Raw genomic sequence first — 22,101 nt, 5'->3', positions numbered from 1 at the left:
TGCCTGGGCTGGAGTGCAATGGCATGATCTCGGCTCACTGCAACCTCTGCCTCCCAGGTTCAAGCAATTCTCCTGTCTCAGCCTCCTGAGTAGCTAGGATTACAGGTGCCTGCCACCATGCCCGGCTGCATTTTTAGAAGAGACGGGGTTTCACTATGTTGGCCAGGCTGATCTTGAACTCCTGACCTCGTGATCCACCTCCCAAACTGCTGGGATTACAGGTGTGAGCCACTGCGACCAGCTGAAATAGAATATCTGAATAGATGTATAACAAGTAAAGATAGAATTTGTCATCAAAACACTTCCCCCCCCCTTTTTTTTTTTTTTTTTTGAGACAGAGTCTCTATCTGTTGCCCAGGCTGGAGTACAGCGGCGCAATCTCAGCTTACTGCAAGCTCCACCTCCCAGGTTCACGCCATTCTCCTGCCTCAGCCTCCCGAGTAGCTGGGGACTACAGGTGCCCGCCACCACACCCGGCTAATTTTTTGTATATTTAGTAGAGACAGGGTTTCACCGTGTTAGCCAGGATGGTATCGATCTCCTGATCTCGTGATCTGCCCACCTTGGCCTCCCAAAGTGCTGGGATTACAGGCATGAGCCACCACGCCTGGCCTTTTTTTTTTTTTTTTTGTGAGACAAAGTCTCACTCTGTCACTCAGGCTGGAATGCAGTGGCGTGATCTCAGCTCACTGCAACCTCTACCTCCCAGGTTCAAGTGATTCTTCTGCCTCAGCCTCATGATCAAATGGCTTCACTGGTGAATTCTACCAAAAATTTACAGAAGAATTTGCATTAATCTTTCATTAACTCTAGCAAAAAATGGGAGAGAAATATTTACCAACTCATTCTATGTGGCCAGTATTACCTGATACTAAAACAAGTAAAATACATTACGAGAAAAGAAGATTGTACAGCAATATTTCATATGACTATAGAAATAAAAGCCATTGACAGAATCAGCAACATACTAAAAGGATTATACACCATGACCAAGTAAGATTGATCCCAGCAATCCAAGACTGGTTCAACATGCTTTATAAAATCAATTAATGTAATACACCATATTAAAAGAAGACTAAAACCACACGATCTTCTCAAGATGCAAAAAAAAAAAAAAAGCATAAAACAGTATTCAACACATTTTCATGATGAAAATACTCAACAAAGTGGGAATATAAGGTTACTTACTTAGCTTTAATGAGGTCATCTATTAAAAGCTCACAGCTAACATCATACTTAATCTTAAAAGACTGAAATGTTTTTCCTAAGTTCAAGATCACGACAGTGATTTTCACTCTTACCACTTCTATTCAATATTGTATTGGAGGTTCTAACCAGGGCAGTGAGACAAGAAGAAGAAAGAAAGGTATACAGATTGGAAAGGAGGAAGCAGAACTATTTTTATTTGCAAATGATATATTACATTCTAAGAAAATTCTAAGAAATCCATTTTTAAAATAACAGAACTGATAGGTTCAGCAAGGTTTCAGGTTACAAGACCAATATTAAAAAATCAATGACATTTTTATTCACTAGCAGCCAAAAATCTAAAAATGAACTTAAAAAATACCATTTAAAATAACATCAGAAAGAAGAAAATACTTAGAAATATACTTAACTAAGGAGATGAAAGATCTGTATACTGAAAACTGCAAGACATTATTGAAAGAAAATTCTAAATAAATGGAAAGAATCCCACGTTCATGGATTAGAAGACTTATCATTAGGATATCAACACTCCCCTATATTGATATAGAGGTTAAATACAATACTAATCAAAATCCCAGCTGACTTTCTGGCAGGAATTGAGAAGCTGATTCTAAAATTATTATGGAAAAGCAAGGAACCCAGAATAGTCAAAACAATCTTGAAAAAGAAGAACATACTAGGAGAACAAACAGTTTTCTATTTCAAACTTACTACAAAGCTACAATAATCAAGACTATGTTGTACTGGCATAAAGACAGATGTATAGATCAATGGGTAGAATTGAGGGTCCATAAACAAATTCATACATCTACAGTGAACTGGTTTTTGACAAGAGTGCCAAGACAACTCAAAGAAAGAATAGTCTTTTCAACAGATGGTGTTGGGACAACTGGATATCTGTGCAAATAATGAAATTAGACTCCTACCTCACACCATATACAAAAGTTAACTCAAAGTGGATCAAAGACAGAAAAAGGCAAAAACAGAGGTATAAATTTTCTTGACCTTGTATTAGGCAATAGTTTCTTAGATCTGCTATCAGAAGCACAAGCAACCAAAGAAAAAGCAGATAAATTGGACTTTGTTACAGTTCAAATTTTTATTCTTCAAAGGACAGTATCAAGAAATGGAAAAGACAACTCACATATGGAGAAAATATTTGTAAATCATGTGTAGCAGGATCTAGTATCCAGAATATATAAAGAACTCTTACAACTTAATAATAAAAAGACAAAATGGGCCATTAAAAATGGACCAATAATTTGAACAGACTTCTCCAAAAAAGGATACACAAATGGCCAGTAAGCACGTAAAAAATGATGTTCAACATCATTGGTTGTTAGGGAAATGCAAATCAAAGCCATAATGAAATATTATTTCACACTTTCTAGGGTAGATATATTTTTAGAAGGGTATACAATAACAAATGATGGTGAGGATGTGGAGATTTTGGAACCCTTGTACGTAGGTGGTGGGAATGTAAAATGTGCAGCTGCTTTGGAAAACAGTATGGCAGTGTTTGAAAAAGTTAAACATAGAATTACTATATGACTCCCCAATTCCACTTCTAGGTGTATGCCCAAGAGAATAAAAAACATGTATTCATATAAAAACTTGTACCCAAATGTTTAATAGCAGCATTATTCATACTAGCCAAAAAGTGGAAACATTAACTTATAAATGAAGTACTGAGAAATGATACAATATGAGTGAATCTTGAAAACATCATGTTCAGTGAAATATGCCAGATACAAAATGCTACATATTGTCTGATTCCCGTTAAATGAAATGTCCAGAATTGGCAACTCTCTAAGGACAGAAAGATTAGTGGTTGCCAGAGGTAATGGGGAATAATTGGGATAATTTGGAGTAACAATTAGTGGGCACAGGGTTTCTTTTTGGGGTGGTGAAAATGTTCTGGGATAGATAAGTGGTATAGGTTATACAGCCTTGTAAATATACCACAAACCATTGCATTGTGCACTTTAAAATTGTTTAATAATTATTAAAAAGTATGTTTTTATTTTTAATGTGTTTTTTTAAACTAGCAAATTGAATCCAACAATCTATAAAAAGAATAATACACCATGACTAGGAATGCAAGGATGATTCAGTGTTTGAAAATGAACCAGTGTAATCTACCATATTAACAGTCAAAAGAAGAAAAACTACATGTTATGTCAATTGAATTTTAGAATATTTTTGACAAAATTAAATGTTTATTCATGATTTAAAACTCTCATCAAACTAGTAAAAAGGACCTTTACAATTATTTATAATACTTAAGGTAAAAAAAAGAAAACAGTCTATGTGGCTAAGAAAGATCTTAGAATATATTTTCTATAATTTTCTTGAGTGCAAAATAAAATACAACATTTTGGATGCAAGTTATCTGTATTTGGAAAAAGTAGGGAATTTTTAATACATCTAGTTTGTTACATTGTGTTGGATAGCTTCTGTAACTTTTCTGATAATAACAAATTGTTTAAAGGAATCTATAAAATTGATTTTTTTCCAATTTTCTGTCTGTCCCACTGGAAAACTGGATTTATTTCCGATGTTATAATTATTTGACTTTTTCCCTATTTTTTCTAGATGTATTAGACACAGAAATGATTGGGGAGCTCTTATTCTAGTGGATGATCGCTTTAGGAATAACCCAAGTCGCTATATATCTGGTAAGATCTCAGCTGGGCTTAGAGTAAAAACTAGTAACAATCTTCATATTTTTATTGTGGTGAAAAACACATAACATGAGCTCTACTATCTTATTAAGTGCACAGTACAATATTGTTAACTATAAGCACAGTATTTCACAGCAGATATCTAGAACTTTTAAATCTTACATAACTGAAACTTAACACCAACTGAACAGCAATGCCCCATGTCCCTCTCCCCCCTGTCCACTGACAACCACCGCTATACTTTCTGCTTCTATTAGTTTGACTGTTTTGGATACCTCATATAAATTGAATTATGCAGTATTTGTCCTTCTGTAACTGGCTTATTTCAGTTAGCATAATGTCCTCAAGGTTCATCTATGTTGCAGGATTTCCTTCTTTTCAATGACTGCTTAATATTTTATTTTATGTATACATTATACCATATTTTCTTTATCCATTCATCTGTCAGTAGACATTTAGGTTGTTTCCCCCTCATGGATATTGGGAACAATGCTGCAATGGACATGGGAATGCAGATATCTCTTCAAGATGCTGATTTCAATTTTTTTGAACAAATACCAAGCGTAGGATTTGGCGAATCATCATAGTTCTAAGTTTAATTTTTTGATTTGATACTGTTCTTCATAGCAACTGCACCATTTAACATTCCCACCAATAGCACACAAGGGTTCCAGTTTCTCCATATCCTCCCTAATGCTTATTTCCTTTTTTCTTCTTTTTCTTTTTAAAATTTCATAATGGCTCTCCTAGCAGGTATAATGTGATAGCACAGTGTGGATTTGATTTGCATTTCTCTGATGAATAGGGATGTTAAGCATCTTTTCTATACCTGTTGGCCAAATCATATGTCTTCTTTGGAGAAACATCTTTTCATTTGCTCATTTTTTAATTGGGTTATTTGGATTTCTTTGCATATCTGTTTTTTTGGTTTGGTTTTTGGTGTGTTTTTTTGTTTGTTTTTTCTATTGAGATATAGGAGTTTCTTATATATTTTGGGGATTAACTCTTTATCAGATATATGCGTTGCAAATTATTTTCTCCCATTCTATAGGCTGCCTTTTGACTCTGCTGATTATTTACTTTGCTGCACAGAAGTTTTTTAGTTTAACATGGTCTTCCTTGTCTAATTTTGCTTTTATTGCCTGTGTTTTTGGTGTCATATCCAAACAATCATTGCCAATACCAAGACTGGATAATTTATAAAGATAAGAGATTTATTTGGCTTATGGTTCTGCAGGCTGCACAAGAATCATGGCATCAGCATCTGCTTCTAATGAGGACCTCAGAAAGTCTACAATCATAGCACCAAGGCTTTCATGAGGGTTCTGTCCCCATGACCCACATACCTCCCACTAGGCCCCACCTATGACATGGGGGAACACATTTCAACATGAGCTTTGGAGGAAACAAATAACCAAAGCATATCAATCCCCAATGACACCCTGTTGAAGATCCGCTGACCATATATGTGTGGATCTGCTTCTGAGCTCTCTATTATGTTCCATTGGCTTATATGGTTCTCTTTATGCCAGTACCATACTTTTTTGACTACTACAGCTGTGTAATGTATTTTATAATCGGGAGGTATGATGCCTGCAGCTTTTATCATTTTTCTCAAGGTTCTTTTGCCTATTTGTGGTCCTTTGTGGTTCCATATGAATTTAGATTGCAGCCGGGCATGGTGGCTCACGCCTGTAATCCCAGTGTTTTGGGAGGCCAAGGCAGGTGGATCACGAGGTCAGGAGTTTGAGACCAGCCTGGCCAACATGGTGAAACCCCATCTCTATTAAAAATACAAAAATTAGCCGGGTGCGGTGGCGGGTGCCTGTAATCTCAACTATTCTGGAGGCTGAGGCAGGAGAATGGCTTGAACCTGGGAGGCGGAGGTTGCAGTGAGCCAAGACCGCGCCACTGCACTCTAGCCTGGGCAACAGAGCAAGATTCTGTCTCAAAAAAAGATTGCTTTCAGTAGTATGGACATTCTGACAATATTAGGTGTTCCAATCTGTGAACATGGGATATCTTTCCATTTATTTGTGTTATCTTTACTGTTTTTCAGCAATGTTTTATAATTTCCAGTGTACAGGTTTTTTGCCTCCTTAGTTGTTTATTCCTAGGTATTTTATTATTTTTGATGCTATTTTTTTTCCCTGGTTTGAGTTTTTTTATTTTAATTTTTATTTTTATTATTATACTTTAAGTTCTAGGGTACATGTGCACAACGTGCAGGTTTGTTACATATGTATACATGTCCCATGTTAGTGTGCTGCACCCATTAACTTGTCGTTTACATTAGGTATATCTCCTAATGCTATCCCTCCCCCCTCTCCCCCCACCCCACAACAGGCCCCGGTGTGTGATGTCCCCCTTCCTGTGTCCAAGTGTTCTCATTGTTCAGTTCTCACCTATGAGTGAGAACATGCCATGTTTGGTTTTCTGTCCTTGCGGTAGTGTGCTGAGAATGATGGTTTCCAGCTTCATTCATACTATTATAAATGGGATTGTTTTCTTACATTCCTCTTTTGGTTGTTTTTAGTGTATAGAATTGCAAGTGATTGTTGTACATTGATTTTTGTATTCTGCAACTTTACTGGATTTATTAGTCCTAACAGGTTTTTTTTCAATCTTTAGGGTTTTCCACATAAAAGATCATGTCATCTGCAAAGAGAGATCATTTCACTTTATTCTTTTTCAATTTGGATTCCTTTTATTTCATTTTCTTGCCTAATAGTCTGGCTAGGATTCTTAGTACTAAGCTAAATAGAAGTAGTGAGAATGAACATCCTTGCTTTGTTGCTGGTCTTAAAAGCTTTTCATTTTTTAATTTTTTGAAGAAAAATGCTTTGATTCCTTTCTCATTTTTCTTTTGTATACCTTCTATAGATATTTCCTTTGTGGTTACATGGGTCTTACATGAAACATAGTTATAACAATATTTTCAGCTAACAAATTCATTTCAGTTGTATAAACTCTACACTTTTACTTTTCCCATCACATTTTATTATTAAAGTCACAAATTATACCCTTTTATATAGTGTATCCACTAACATACTATTATAGTTATTTTCATACTTTGTCTTTTAACTTCTGTATAGAATTAAACATTATTTATGTATCACTGTTGTTATATTAAAGTATTCTGTATTTGTGTACACTTTTAACTTCACGAGCAAACTTTATGCTTTTGTGTTGCTGTTTAGCAGGCTTCCTTTAGCATATCTTGTAAGGCACGTTTAGTGGTGAAGTCCCTCAGCTTTTGCTTATCTGGAAAAGTTTTTACCTCCTATTCATTTTGATAGATGGCTTTACCAGATATAATATCCTTCACTGGCAGGTTTTTTTCTTTCAGCACTTCAAACATGTCATCCCACTTCCTTACAGCATGCAAGATGTCGCCTGAGAAATCTTTCTCTTTTTGGAGACAGGATGTTACTCTGCCACCCAGGCAGGAGTCCAGTGGCATGATCATGACTCACTGCAGCCTCAGCCTCCCAGGCTCAAGTGATCCTCCCACCTCAGCCTCAGCTGGGACTACAGGCATGCACCACCAGACCTGGCTAATTTTTAATTTTTTTTGTAGAGATGGGGTCTCACTATGTTGCCCAGGCTAATCTCAAACTCCTCGGCTCAAGCAATTCTCCTACCTCTGCCTCCCAAAGTGTTGGGATTATAGGCATGAGCCTTCATGCCCGGCCTAGTGACTGTCTTATGGGACTTCATTTGTATATGACAAGTTGCTTTTATCTTGCTGTTTTCAAATTTCTATTGTTTTCTTTGACTTTTGACACTTTGATTATAAAGTGTTTTGGTACAGACTTTTGGGTTCATCCTGTTCAGGTTCACTGGGCTTCATGTATTTGGATGTCATTTTCCTCCCCCCAGGTTTATTAAGTTTTCGGTCATTATTTCTATAAATAAGCTTTCTGCTCCTTTCTCTCTTTCTCTTTCTAGGACTCCCAGAATGTGTATATTGGTCAGCTTGACGGTGCCCCATAAGTCAAGTCATAAATGAAGCCATAAGCCTTCACTTTTTTTTTTCCATTTTGTTTTTTACTTTTTGCTTCCCTGACTGGATGATTTCAAACGACTTGCCTTCAAATTTCCTGATTCTTAGCACTTTGGGAGGCTGAGGAAGGTGGATCACTTGAGGTCAGGAGTTCAAGACCAGCCTGGCCAACGTGGTGAAACCCCACCTCTACTAAAAATACGACAATTAGCCGGGTGTGGTGGTACATGCCTGTAGTCCCAGCTACTTGAGAGGCCGAGGCAGGAGAATCGCTTGAATCAGGGAGGCGGAGGTTTCAGTGAGCCGAGATGGCGCCACTGCACTCCAGCCTGGGCGACAGAGCGAGACTGTCTCAAAAAAATAACATAACATAACATAACATAACATAACAGAATATAAAATATATAAAATAAAGTAAAATAAAATAAATTTCCTGATTCTTCCTTCTGCTTGATCAAGTCTGCTGATGAACCCCTGTAGTGAATTTTTCAGTCCAGTTATTGCATTTTTTAGCTCCAAAATCTCTTTAGTTCTTTTTTGTATTCTTTATCATTGTTGAAATTCTCCTTTTTTTCTATATTATTTTCTTGAACTTGTGAGCATCATGTTGACAGTTATTTTAAATTCCTTGCCAGGTAATTCATATAGCTTTTTTTTTTTTTTAAGGGTTGGTTTCTGGAGACTTATTTTGTTCCTTTGACAGGGTTATTTTTTCCTGTTTCTTTATGTTTCTTGTAACCTTGTATGGTATCCACACATTTGAAAAAACAGCCACCTCTCACAGTGTTTACTAACTGGTTTTGTACAGGGAAAGACCTTCACTCATCAGCCCTGGTAGGCATTCTGGGAGCCTCTCAAACCTTTTCCGTGGATCTGTCTTCTTTGGACTTCTCTGTAAATTCCTTATTAGAAATATTTGCTTGGTTTTTTTTTGTTTTGGTCAAGGTCTCACTCTGTCGCCCATGTTGGAGTGCAGTGGTACAATCTCAGCTCATTGCAGCCTCGGCTTCCTGGGTTCAAGGGATTCTCCCACCTCAGTCTCCCAAGTAACTGGGACCACAGGTGTACACCACTATACCCAGTTAATTCTTGTATTTTTTGTAGAGATGGGGTTTCACCATGTTGTCCACGCTGGTCTCAAACTCCTGGGCTCTGGGCTCAAGTCATCTGCCTGCCTCGGCCTCCCTAAGTGCTGGGATTACAGGCATGAGCCATCACGCCTGACTCTCTTTTGTTCTTAGTAGATTCCAGGCATACAGAGTATGCTAGGTCCAGTCAGTACTCTATGACAAGCAAGACAGAAACGAGTCCCTAGACAGCTCCTTGAAAAGCCAAGATGTTGGATGCACACTCCAGGCTTTTCTGTCCCCCTGAGGGAGTGGCCATCAAACTATATGGGCCTCTGTTGCACTGTGGTTCCTGTGGAGCAGAAACTTGCTGCACAGCGCTTTTGTTCTTAGTGGCCCCTGGGCATGTAGGGTATGCCAGCTCATGTCAGCTCTTCAGTACAGGTAAGATAGAAGCCAGTCCCTGGGGCAGCCTCCCAGAAAAAGACATAAGGTCCAGTTTTCTCTTTTCTCCCCAGGAAGAAGCAGCCAGGTATATTCTGAAGTGGGGATCATGACAAGAGGGTGCCACAAATTTTCCTACCGCTTTGATGCAGGCAGTAGTATCATTTTTTTCTCACTCGATGGTTTCATCCAACAGTAAACAGTTTTCAGAGTCAATACCAGGAGTGATTACTAAAGAGCTATGGGATACATGTGTATCTTTATTATTACCTTTTAGCTAAAAAAAAAATACATTTTATTATAATAAAGAGATGTTAAATTTTGTTTTAGATTAGCCATGTGTGGGTGTAGACTCTACCTTTTCAATTTCAGAGCTTAATGACTGTATTTGGTTTGATATTAAAACATAAAGCAGAAAATATTGCTTTATTTGTTTTATCTTCCCTTTCCACGTAAAGTGTGCAGTAGCATAGGTCAAACAGTAACTAAAGGCAAAAATGCTAAGTGCTGGTGTCTAGTCAGCAGGTGGAGCTCAGATTCTTTCAAGTTTTCAAAAGCAGACAATGATATTTTACATTGAAAAGGCTTTCTTTGATTATAAAAAGGTTGAAATGAAGAGGTAAATATAGTACTAAAATTCTTATTTTTATTTACTTATTTCTTTTTTAGAGACAGGTCTTACTCTGTTGCCCAGGCTGGAGTGCAGTGACGTGATCATAGTTCACTGAAACCTTGAACTCCTGGCCTCAAGCAATCTTCCCACCTCAGCCTCCCCAAATGCTGGGATTATACATGTGAGCCACCACACTCAGCCTAAAAATTTTCAATTTTAGAGAATTTCACATATTTTTATGGTCTAATCATATTCCCCAAATGAACAAAATAAAAAACTTCAAGGGAAATGGCTTATTTAAAATTTTTTTAGTTTTAAAATCTAGAACTTAAATTTTTACCCTATAGTGACTTTTAAAACTAATTCCTCCAAAAGATGATGCTAGTTTTAGTAGTGTTAGCAGGGAATATTTATTTTGTAAAAGTCCAAATACCTGATTTTGCATTTCATTTGGAAGCACACCATACTAGAAAACACCTTAAACTCTTAGGTTTCATTTTTGTGCAGTTTTTATGTCACAGGTCAAATCATATCCTTTATAACTTGATTATATATTAAAAATAATTATATCATAAAAATTCAGAAGGGATGTGATTTACCCATAAGACAGTGTTATTTATTTCACCTCCAGAATAATTTTAATTTAAGATATATTTGGAATTGGTGGAGGAAGGGAACAAAAAAACTTGAGACTAGAATCTTGAAATTATTTTTGCAAAAGGAGTAAAATTTAGAATATTAGAATGGAAAGTTGTATTGTTTACAACTTCTAGTTTCCCTACAAAAAAAAAAGGCAATTTTTGTGGGGAATTATGATGAAATTAAATTTGCCATGTTCACCAGTTATTCTTAACCAGAGAATATGTTTTCCCATCTCTGCCCTACTTCTACTGCCTCTTTGCTCTCTCCATTTGACAATTACTGTATATAAAGAGAATGTTACTCATATGTTACTGATACATATGTAGTAAAATTGCTGAATTGCAGAAAAAACATATGGAGAACCATTCTGTATATTCAAAATACAAATTAGGTTACTTCACTAGAAAAAGCAAGTGTATTACCTTAGCATGTAATATTTTAATAACTAAGTAACCAAATTTTCCCTGGGTTTACCTTTTTCTTTAGGACTTTCTAAATGGGTACGGCAGCAGATTCAGCACCATTCAACCTTTGAAAGTGCACTGGAATCCTTGGCTGAATTTTCCAAAAAGCATCAAAAAGTTCTTAATGTATCCATAAAGGACAGAACCAATATACAGGACAATGAGTCTACACTTGAAGTGACCTCTTTAAAGTACAGTACCTCACCTTATTTACTGGAAGCAGCAAGTCATCTATCACCAGAAAATTTTGTGGAAGATGAAGCAAAGATATGTGTCCAGGAACTACAGTGTCCTAAAATTATTACCAAAAATTCACCTCTACCAAGTAGCATTATCTCCAGAAAGGAGAAAAGTATGAAAAGTTCTTCCCATTTACCTTTGATAGAGAAGTCTTTCATTATATTTAGTGAAATGATATTTATTTGGGTATAGATTAATTCCTTAAATATGGTGGTTTGTAATATAAGGTGTTATCATAAAATAGTGAAACAGTATGGTGTACTGTAATGGGAACAAACTTTTGTCAGGAGACCAGAGCATATTTTCTGGTTTTCCACTAACTGGCTTTGCCACTTACTAGCTTTGTGATCATGAGCAAGTCATTTGTCCTTTTTGAGTCGTAATAGGAAAAAAAAAATGCCTGCCTAGCTATCCCTTCAGGTTGGGTTGTAAAGGTCAAAATTATAAATATCACAGCATTGTAAAGTACCATGTAAGTGGTAGATGTTATTCTAAAGGCTATATAAAAATTTGGCCTAATTTTTATGTAGATACTTCTATATGAACTACTTTTCCTATATAGATAGTTCTTATGAACTTATTTTTAGGAGGTGAGAGACATTTATTTTAAGTGATGAAAAATAATATTTTAAAATATTTTGAAATAATCATCTGTATCAGATTGGCAAACTGTGGCCCATGGGCCAAATTTGGCCTGCTGCCTGTTTTTGTAAATAAAGTTTAATGAAATGTAGTCATGCCCATTTATTTACATTTTAGAAACAACAGCAGAGTTGAGTATTTGTGTGTATTGCACTAGAACAGCATAATTGAGTAGTCGCAACAGATACATTATGCTCCACAAAGCCTAAATATTACTATCTGGCCTATGACAGAAAAGGTTTGCCAAACTCTGGTCTATTCCATTGGATATAATTTCAGTTGTTTTAATTCATATATCCAAGGCGGGTGGATCATCCGAGGTCAGGAGTCCGAGACCAGCCTGACCAGTGTGGTGAAACACCGTCTCTACTAAAAAAATACAAAAATTAGCTGGGTGTGGAGGCAGCTGTCTGTAATCCCAGCTACTCAGGAGGCTGAGGCAGGAGAATTGCTTGAACTGGGAGGTGGAGGTTGCAGTGAGCCAGGATTGCGCCATTGCACTCCAGCCTGGGCAACAAAAGCAAAACTCGGACTAAAAAAAAGAAAAACATCAATTTTTAAACATGTATTTTGTAGTATATAAGTACTACAAAATAGTAATACAATTTTGTATATAAATACTACAAAATAGTAATACAAAATTCACTATAAATAGTGAATTCAAGCCGATTAACTTGGTAATCAGGAAACCTAGTTTCTAGTCTTGGTCTTCTTACTAACCAGTTTTATAACTTTGAGCAAATAACTTAGCCTTATGTCACTTTCCTTATTTATTAAATAAAAGAATTAGTCTAGGTAAGTTTTTCTCAGTCACTGGTTAGTGGATTTTCAAGGCAAATGTTTACAGCCTGTTCCCTCCTTTCCTCAGCTCCCTTCCTCTTCCCTTTTACCCCTTCTTTCCTCATTCATTCTTGAGCTCCCTGCTGTGGAATTTGATAGTTTACCAGACAGCATTATAACTTGGGCTAGGAAACATTAGAGACCTAAGATTTCTTTCAGAGTTAATATTCTGTTCCAAGATGAAAATCCACTAGTATTCGTTGGGGGCTCTAAGTTATGTATCCTATACAGTTATTTAGGTATTTCTAATAAATAATTATTTTAACCTAGCAATTATGTTAGCTAGGAGCAGAAAGTTAAATCTCTTAAATTCTTGTATTCTTAGATGATCCAGTATTCCTGGAAGAAGCAGGGAAAGCAGAAAAAATTGTGATTTCCAGATCCACAAGCCCAACTTTCAACAAACAAACAAAGAGAGTTAGCTGGTCAAGCTTTAATTCTTTGGGACAGTATTTTACTGGTAAAATACCGAAGGCAACACCTGAGCTCGGGTCATCAGAGAATAGTGCCTCTAGTCCTCCCCGTTTCAAAACAGAGAAGATGGAAAGTAAAACTGTTTTGCCCTTCACTGATAAATGTGAATCCTCAAATCTGACAGTAAACACATCGTTTGGATCATGCCCTCAATCAGAAACCATTATTTCATCATTAAAGATTGATGCCACCCTTACTAGAAAAAATCATTCTGAACATCCGCTCTGTTCTGAAGAAGCCCTGGATCCAGACATTGAATTGTCTCTAGTAAGTGAAGAAGATAAACAGTCCACTTCAAATAGAGATTTTGAAACAGAAGCAGAAGATGAATCTATCTATTTTACACCTGAACTTTATGATCCTGAAGATACAGATGAAGAAAAAAATGACCTAGCTGAAACTGATAGAGGAAATAGATTGGCTAACAATTCAGATTGCATTTTAGCTAAAGACCTTTTTGAAATTAGAACTATAAAAGAAGTAGATTCAGCCAGAGAAGTGAAAGCTGAGGATTGCATAGATACAAAGTTGAATGGAATTCTGCATATTGAAGAAAGTAAAATTGATGACATTGATGGTAATGTAAAAACAACTTGGATAAATGAACTGGAACTGGGAAAAACTCATGAAATAGAAATAAAGAACTTTAAACCATCTCCTTCCAAAAATAAAGGCATGTTTCCTGGTTTTAAGTAATAATACTTAACTCTCAAGCTAAGTAAAAATATGTCATCATGCTTATGTTAAACTCTGTTGTAAGTAATAATTTGTAAATTGAATAAGTGGCATACTTTTTAAAAAACTATTTTATGTTCAGAAATGTAAATGTTATTATTCTTGAGTTTTTGGGTTTTTTTTTTTGAGACAGAGTCTTGGTCTGTTGCCCAGGCTGGAATGCAGTGGTGTGCTCTGGGCTCACTGCAACCTTCACCTCCAGGTTCAAGTGATTCTCCTGCCTCAGCCTTCTGAGTAGCTGGGACTACAGGTGTGCACCACCATGCCCAGCTAGTTTTTGTATTTTTAGTAGAGATGGGGTTTCACCATGTTGGCCAGGCTGGTCTCGAACTCCTGGCCTCGTGATCTGCCCTTCTCTGCCTCCCTAAGTTGCTGGGATTACAGGTGTGAGCCACAGTGCCTGGCCCATTCTTGAGTTTTGATAAAGTAATTCATACAAAGTACTGTCCTCAAATAAGTCTTCCTTAGCTAAATGCAATTTAAAATTATTCAAAGATCCTAGGGCACTTCTAGTTTCACGTAAATATTCATATTAGGTGGTTCTCTTCATCCATTTGTTTTCACACTGATACATAAAAATTAACAGCAGTCTAATCTAGTGACACCTCAGTCATATTTCGCTATAGATTTTACCTCAAATCAGTCCAAGACTTTTTCAGAGATCACCATTTGTCTTGAAAGGTTTATTTCGTTATTAAACTGCCTACTTATAAGTAATTAAGAGAAATTAAGAAAGTAGTATGCATTTTTAATTGAAATTGTTTTACATTCTTTGTATAATAAACCTAAAACCAAACATGTCATAAACAAATTGACGTAAAGATATAAAATGCCAAATGAAGTATTCCAAATTTTCTATTCTAATTATTTAGCTTCACCATCATTGTGGAAAAAAATACTAGATCCTGCTTAGTATTATATATTTTTCCTAGTGGATCAGTGAGTAATAAGTACCAAACACTAGACTAGAAGGTAATTTCTACATTGTTTAGAAAGGGTGAAACAATTTATCCCCTCTGGTATTGTTCTAGCATAAGCTTTAGTTATACAATGATTAAGATAGAAAACTTCATATATAAATTTGATAAGCAAACCCACATTTATAGCTGCAGCTAAAATATGTTTCCTTAGGGCACAGTAATCCTTTCTGTGAATTTTGACCTTGTTTGTGTTTTTGTGAATGAAGCTATATGTCTAATCAAAAATGATTATAAAAGAGGCTCATCTCTGACATCATTCCAAAAATACATTCATTGATCTCTTTTTAAGAAACATCTGTTATTCACTGGGCATTGGGACTTTTTGTGAGTAATTTGAATTGAAATTTTATGAGCTATCCAAGAATTCTGTATGGTCTATTATTTTCAAGTCAAAATTTCCAGTAAGGATTTACTTTACATTTCATTTGGATAAATGAATCATTATATAGGTATGTCTTTGCTTCCATTTTGAGACATTTAGATTTTTACAGCCTGTTTCTATAGCATTTGATGTTACAACTCTAAGCGTAGTTCAAAGACATTTAAATTGACAAGTTACCAGTTAAAGAATTTAGAATATATTAGATCCCATCTAGTATTATATATTTTTTCTAGTTGATCATTGAGCAGTAAATACCAAATACTCGATTAGAAGGTAATTTTTACATTGTTTTGAAAGGGTGAAACAATTTATCTCCTCTGGTATTATTCTTAAACCACAGATAGGGATAGTAGGGTAGTGAAACGAATAAATACCTGGTAGAAGACAAGAGACTTGGGCTCTACACCTGGCTCTGCCACTGATTTGCTAAGTCATATTGGCAATCACCACACCCTTCAGGGAATTAGTTTCATCTGTAAAATGCAGCGGTTAGTACTATAAAATCATACAAATTTCTTTGTGCTTTGAGAATCTATAAAGGAATGTCTGTTGATATTCTGAGTCGATTTTCATTTGCTTTTGTTCCAGAACGGTTAAAATAAAGCATATTATTTCATTTAAAAAGTAAAGTGGCTCTTACTCATTTACATTTAGGGAACGATGGTGACGTGGTTTGGCTATGTCCCCAGCCAGATCTCATCTTGAATTGTAGTTCCCATAATCCCGACGTGTTGTGGGAAGGACCCAGTGGGAGGTAATTGAATCGTGGGGGCGGTTACCCTCATGCGGTTCTCGTGATACTGAGTTCTTATGAGACCTGATGATTTTATAAGGAGCTTTTCCCTGCTTCACTCTCATTCTTCTCTCCTGCTGCCCTGTGAAAAGTTGCCTTCCGCCATGATTGTAAGTTTCTTGAGGCCTCCTCAGTCATGCAGAACTGTGAGTCAATTAAACCTCTTTCCTTTATAAATTACCCAGTCTTGGGTATGACTTTATTAGCAGCATGAGAACAGACTGACACAGATGGTATATGTGCATAATAACTTGGAAAGCTAGATATTTATTTTCGCAATGCTACAATTAAAACATTTTGAGGACTTTTAAAATTACCTTTAGGGCCAGGCGCGGTGGCTCACGCCTGTAATCCCAGCACTTTGGGAGGCCGAGGCGGGCGGATCACGAGGTCAGGAGATCGAGACCATCCTGGTTAACACGGTGAAACCCCGTCTCTACTAAAAATACAAAAAATTAGCCAGGCGTGGTGGCGGGCGCCTGTAGTCCCAGCTACTCAGGAGGCTGAGGCAGGAGAATGGCGTGAACCCGGGAGGTGGAGCTTGCAGTGAGCCGAGATTGCGCCACTGCACTCCAGCCTGGGCGACAGAGCGGGACTCCGTCTCAAAAAAAAAAAAAAAAAGAAATTACCTTTAGAATTGGTAAACTACATGAGAAAATTAAGCATATTATTCATATCTTAGTGTTATTACCCAACTTCATCTCCAATACTTTCCCCTTTCCCTAGCTAGATATGTTTTTGTTTGTTTGTTTTAGACAGTCTTGCTCTGTCGCTCAGGCTGGAGTGCAAAGGCACGATCTTGGCTCACTGCAACCTCTGCCTCGCAGGTTAAAGCGATTCTCATGTCTCAGCCTCCTGCGTAGCTGGGATTACAGGTGTACACCACTGCACCCAGCTAATTTTTTTTTTTTTTTTTTTTTAAGTATCGACAGGGTTTCACCATGTTGGCCAGGCTGGTCTCAAACTCCTGACCTCAAGTGATCTGCCCACCTCGGCCTCCCAAAGTGTTGGGATTACAGGCGTGAGCCACCATGCCTGGCCTAGATATTTTTTATTCTTTCCAAAATTTAATTCTCCCTGAAGTTAAAAATTTTCATTACTGAGAATGTACATAGAGATGTGTCACAACCCTTTAGTAATTCCAAAAGGTGTTTCAAAAATTTTATACAATGATAATCACTGTTGAAACAGGTGTATATTCTCCTCAGATCATGACTGACCAAGATGATATTCCAAGAAGTAAACTACTGGCCTTTATAGAGTAGGATGTAGGCCATTTTCATTACTGATAACATACTTTTAAAAGAAATGTTTACAGATTTAAATAAGTTAAAACATCTAAATGCTTTTAAAAGAGCACCTGGCACATTGCAAGTTATTCATTATTAATTAGTAGATGAATCATATATCTGGAGTGCACCCTTGCTCTATATGAAAGCTTCCCTAACTATAGATATATAGGTGATAGACTGACAATAAAGATTTGAGGAAAGAAAAATTATTTGGCTGGCTTATTTTTTAAGCTTTTGAGATGTATAAGGTAGAGATTGTTTATCAAATAATTTATGTGACACATTCAATGCATATGAAATAATTATCTAATACTGAATTTATTCAAGGACTGAAAGTATATAGAGCACACAGGCTGCAAACCAGGAAAACTACCAGTTAGAGACAGGGCTTTATTCTTGGAATAAAGGTACAATGTAAAGAGTAGATGTTTCATGACTTGATTAAATTATTTAAAACTGTCTAGAATTGTGTTATAAAACTATTACTATGTTTCTATGCACTTAGTTATTACATGGGTTTAAATTTGGCACTGTTTCTAAGTTTCTATAAGGCTTTGTTGTTAAGATCTTTCTATTCAAAACATTAATTTTAACAAAAAGCTTTTCCCCGTTATTTTTCTGCAACTGGACTTTTTTGTATTACTTTCCTATATTAAAACGCATTTAAAATATTTAATTCTTTAGGGCTGCTTACAAAATTTCATGAAATCAAAGCACCTGTTGTCAAATCACTTGAAAGGCTGGTTATCATGGTCATCTCTAAGTGATGGCATTCTTTTGTATTTGATTACCACACAATTATTCTCGCATATGCTCTTTTAAACGCTGATTTCTCAATGAGTTACACAAGAATTTAACCTTTATGAATTCTTGGTGGTTTATTATCTATTTCCATAGGTAAATGCAGTTAATCTTTTGTAAATAGATAGTATTGATGATAATCAAAAAAAATTTTAAGACCAGATCAAGCAATGAATGTAAGAAAGCTAAAACCTTAACGTAAAATAACTGCAGAGCTATGAAAAATACAATAAAGAACATCAGGAAATAGAAATTTGGAAAAGTGACCAAGGCTTATGATCCTCTAGCCTTAAACAATTTTCATGTCTCAAAAAAAAAAAAAAAGAATTTTGTTTCTTAAGTTTCATTTGATAGAACCATTAGCTGCCTGGCTTCCTGTACTCCACAATGGAGCCTTGTTATAATATACATGGGATCTGAGCCAGCAGATCACCTTATTGGTAAGACTACCTTATAATGAGGTGCTTTCAGTAACTAAACCCTCTTGGACCAGGTCCAAAACAACCCATCTTACACCAAATTCCACTCTGTAATAAACAAGCGTCAATGTATTGGAAAGAAAACAAAAGCTATATGAAATTTACTGTTCCCAGAAATTAACCTTTGAAAACCCAATGGTAAATACTGATTAAAAGGAATGTGTAACAAGGCATAATTAGATAGATATTTTAGTACATTTTATAATAACTTTGTATTTTCTTGGCTCAGTCTTCCTTTATTCGGGAATTTATATTATTTTGATTATCTTAACGCTTTCCCCAAAATTTCATCATTTCACATGAAAATATTTTACATTAATATTTATAGAATTCAATATTAAAGTTTGATTTGGCTCCTTGCTATTATAAAACACAAAATTGTACAAGAGGCATACCATTTCTGTAAACTAGGTGCCATTATCTTTTATATATGATTCACATATAGTTGAAAAGTTTTAAAAGTATTTAGTACTGTTTGTTATTATTTTAGATGCAGTATTGTCTTCGTATATTTTCCCTGTTTTTCTTTTTTTTCCTGTATTTTTATTTTTTTAATTAATTTATTTTTATTATACTTTAAGTTCTAGGGTATATGTGCACAACGTGCAGGTTTGTTACATAGGTATACATGTGCCATGCTGGTTTGCTGCACCCATCAACTCATCATTTACATTAGGTATTACTCCTAAGCTATCCCTCCCCCAGACCCCCACCCCCAGACAGGCCCCAGTGTGTGATGTTCCCCACCCTGTGTCCAAGTGTTCTCATTGTTCAATTCCCACCTATGAGTGAGAACACGGGGTGTTTGGTGTTCTGTCCTTGTGACAGTTTGCTTAGAATGATGGTTTCCAGTTTCATCCATGTCCCTGCAAAGGACATGAACTCATCCCTTTTTATAGCTGCATAGTATTCCATGGTGTATATGTGCCACATTTTCTTAAACCAGTCTATCGTTGATGGACATTTGGGTTGGTTCCAAGTCTTTGCTATTGCGAATAGTGCCGCAATAAACATATATGTGCGTGTGTCTTTATAGTAGCATGATTTATAATCTTTTAGGTATATACCCAGTAATGGGATTACTGGGTCAAATGGTATTTTTAGTTCTAGATACTTGAGGAATTGCCACACTGTCATCTACAATGGTTGAACTAATTTACACTCCCACCAACAGTGTGAAAGCGTTCCTATTTCTCCACATCCTCTCCAGCATCTATTGTTTCCTGACTTTTTAACGATCACCATTCTAACTGGCATGAGATGGTATCTCATTGTGGTTTTGATTTGCATTTCTCTGATGACCAGTGATGATGAGCATTTTTTCATGTGTCTGTTGGCTGTATAAATGTCTTCTTCTGAGAAGTGTCTGTTCATATCCTTTGCCCACTTTTTGATGGGTTTTTTTCTTGTAAATTTGTTTAAGTTCTTTGTAGATTCTGGATATTAGCCCTTTATCAGATGGGTAGATTGCAAAAATTTTCTCCCATTCTGTAGGTTGCCTGTTCACTCTGATGGTAGTTTCTTTTGCTGTGCAGAAGCTCTTTAGTTTAATTAGATCCCATTTATCAATTTTGGCTTTTGTTGCCATTGCTTTTGGTGTTGTGGTCATGAAGTCTTTGCCCATGCCTATGTCCTAAATGGTATTGCCTAGGTTTTCTTCTAGTGTTTTTATGGTTGTAGGTCTAATATTTAAGTCTTCAATCCATCTTGAATTAATTTTGGTGTAAGGTATAAGGAAGGGATCCAGTTTCAGCTTTCTACATATGGCTAGCCAGTTTTCCCAGCACCATTTATTAAATAGGGAAAATTCCTACTTAATATTGGTCTCTTTTTTGGTTGTGTCTCTGCCAGGCTTTGGTGTCAGGATGATGCTGGCCTCATAAAATGAATTAGGGAGGATTCCCTCTTTTTCTATTGATTGGAATAGTTAGAGAAGAAATGGTACCAGCTCCTCTTTGTACCTCTGGTTGAATTTGGCTGTGAATCTCTCTGGTCTTGGACTTTTTTTGGTTGGCAGGCTATTAATTATTGCCTCAATTTCAGAACCTGTTATTGGTCTATTCAGAGATTCACCTTCCTGGTTTAGTCTTGGGAGGGTGTATGTGTCGAGGAATTTATCCATTTCTTCTAGATTTTCTAGTTTATTTGCATAGAGGTGTTTATAGTAGTCTCTGATGGTAGTTTGTATTTCTGTGGGATCGGTGGTGAAATCCCCTTTATCATTTTTTACTGCATCTATTTGATTCTTCTTTCTTTTCTTCTTTATTAGTCTCGCTAGTGGTCTATCAATTTTGTTGATCTTTTCAAAAACCAGCTCTGGATTCACTGACTTATTTTGAAGGGTTTTTTGTGTCTCTATCTCCTTTAATTCTGCTCTGATCTTAGTTATTTCTTGCCTTCTGCTAGCTTTTGAATTTGTTTGCTCTTGCTTCTCTAGTTCTTTTAATTGTGATGTTAGGGTGTCAATTTTAGATCTTTCCTGCTTTCTCTTATGGGCATTTAGTGCTATAAATTTCCCTCTACACACTGAGAGATTCTGGTACGTGGTGTCTTTGTTCTCATTGGTTTCAAAGAACATCTTTATTCCTGCTTTCGTTTTGTTATTTACCCAGTAGTCATTCAGGAGCAGGTTGTTCAGTTTCCATATAGTTGTGTGGTTTTGAGTGAGTTTCTTAATCCTGAGTTCTAATTGGATTGTACTGTGGTCTGAGAGACAGTTTGTTGTGATTTCTGTTCTTTTATATTTGCTGAGGAGTGCTTTACTTCCAATTATGTGGTCAGTTTTGGAATAAGTGCGATGTGGTGCTGAGAAGAATGTATATTCTGTTGATTTGGGGTGGAGAGTTCTGTAGATTTCTATTAGGTCCACTTGGTGCAGAGCTGAGTTCAAGTCCTGGATATCCTTGTTAACCTTCTGTCTTGTTGATCTGTCTAATATTGACAGTGGGGTGTTAAAGTCTCCCATTATTATTGTGTGGGAATCTAAGTCTCTTTGTAAGTCTCTAAGGACTTGCTTTGTGAATCTGGGTGCTCCTGTATTGGATGCATATATATTTAGGATAGTTAGCTCTTCTTGTTGAATTGTTCCCTTTACCATTATGTAATGACCTTGTCTCTTTTGATCTTTGTTGGTTTAAATTCTGTTTTATCAGAGCCTAGGATTGCAACCCCTGCTTTTTTTGGCTTTCCATTTGCTTGACAGATCTTCCTCCATCCCTTTATTTTGAGCCTATGTGTGCACGTGAGATGGGTCTCCTGAATATAGCACACTGATGGGTCTTGACTTTTTATCCAATTTGCCAGTCTGTATCTTT

The 22,101-nt window shown here is 36.3% G+C and overlaps 1 protein-coding gene across 13 annotated transcripts in view; it reads left to right on the top strand.

The window, feature by feature from the left end:
* The window catches only part of BRIP1 (BRCA1 interacting DNA helicase 1), a 184,390-nt gene extending 166,212 nt beyond the window's left edge, over positions 1-18,178 (top strand). For 10 of the 13 annotated variants that reach the window (XM_047436893.1, XM_047436891.1, XM_011525333.4 and 7 more), the window contains 3 exons: positions 3,805-3,887; positions 11,152-11,481; positions 13,177-18,178. In XM_047436893.1, coding sequence (XP_047292849.1) covers positions 3,805-3,887; positions 11,152-11,481; positions 13,177-14,021 — 1,258 coding nt within the window. In that variant the 3' untranslated portion in view covers positions 14,022-18,178. Of the gene's footprint in view, positions 1-3,804; positions 3,888-11,151; positions 11,482-13,176 lie in introns of those variants that run through there. The other 3 variants (XM_047436901.1, XM_047436900.1, XM_011525340.4) reach the window with 1 other exon arrangement.

Source organism: Homo sapiens, chromosome 17, assembly GCF_000001405.40.
Source record: "Homo sapiens chromosome 17, GRCh38.p14 Primary Assembly".
Lineage (NCBI taxonomy): Eukaryota > Metazoa > Chordata > Mammalia > Primates > Hominidae > Homo > Homo sapiens.
Note: the sequence above shows the minus strand (reverse complement) of the source record. Positions and strands in the feature narration are given on the sequence as shown.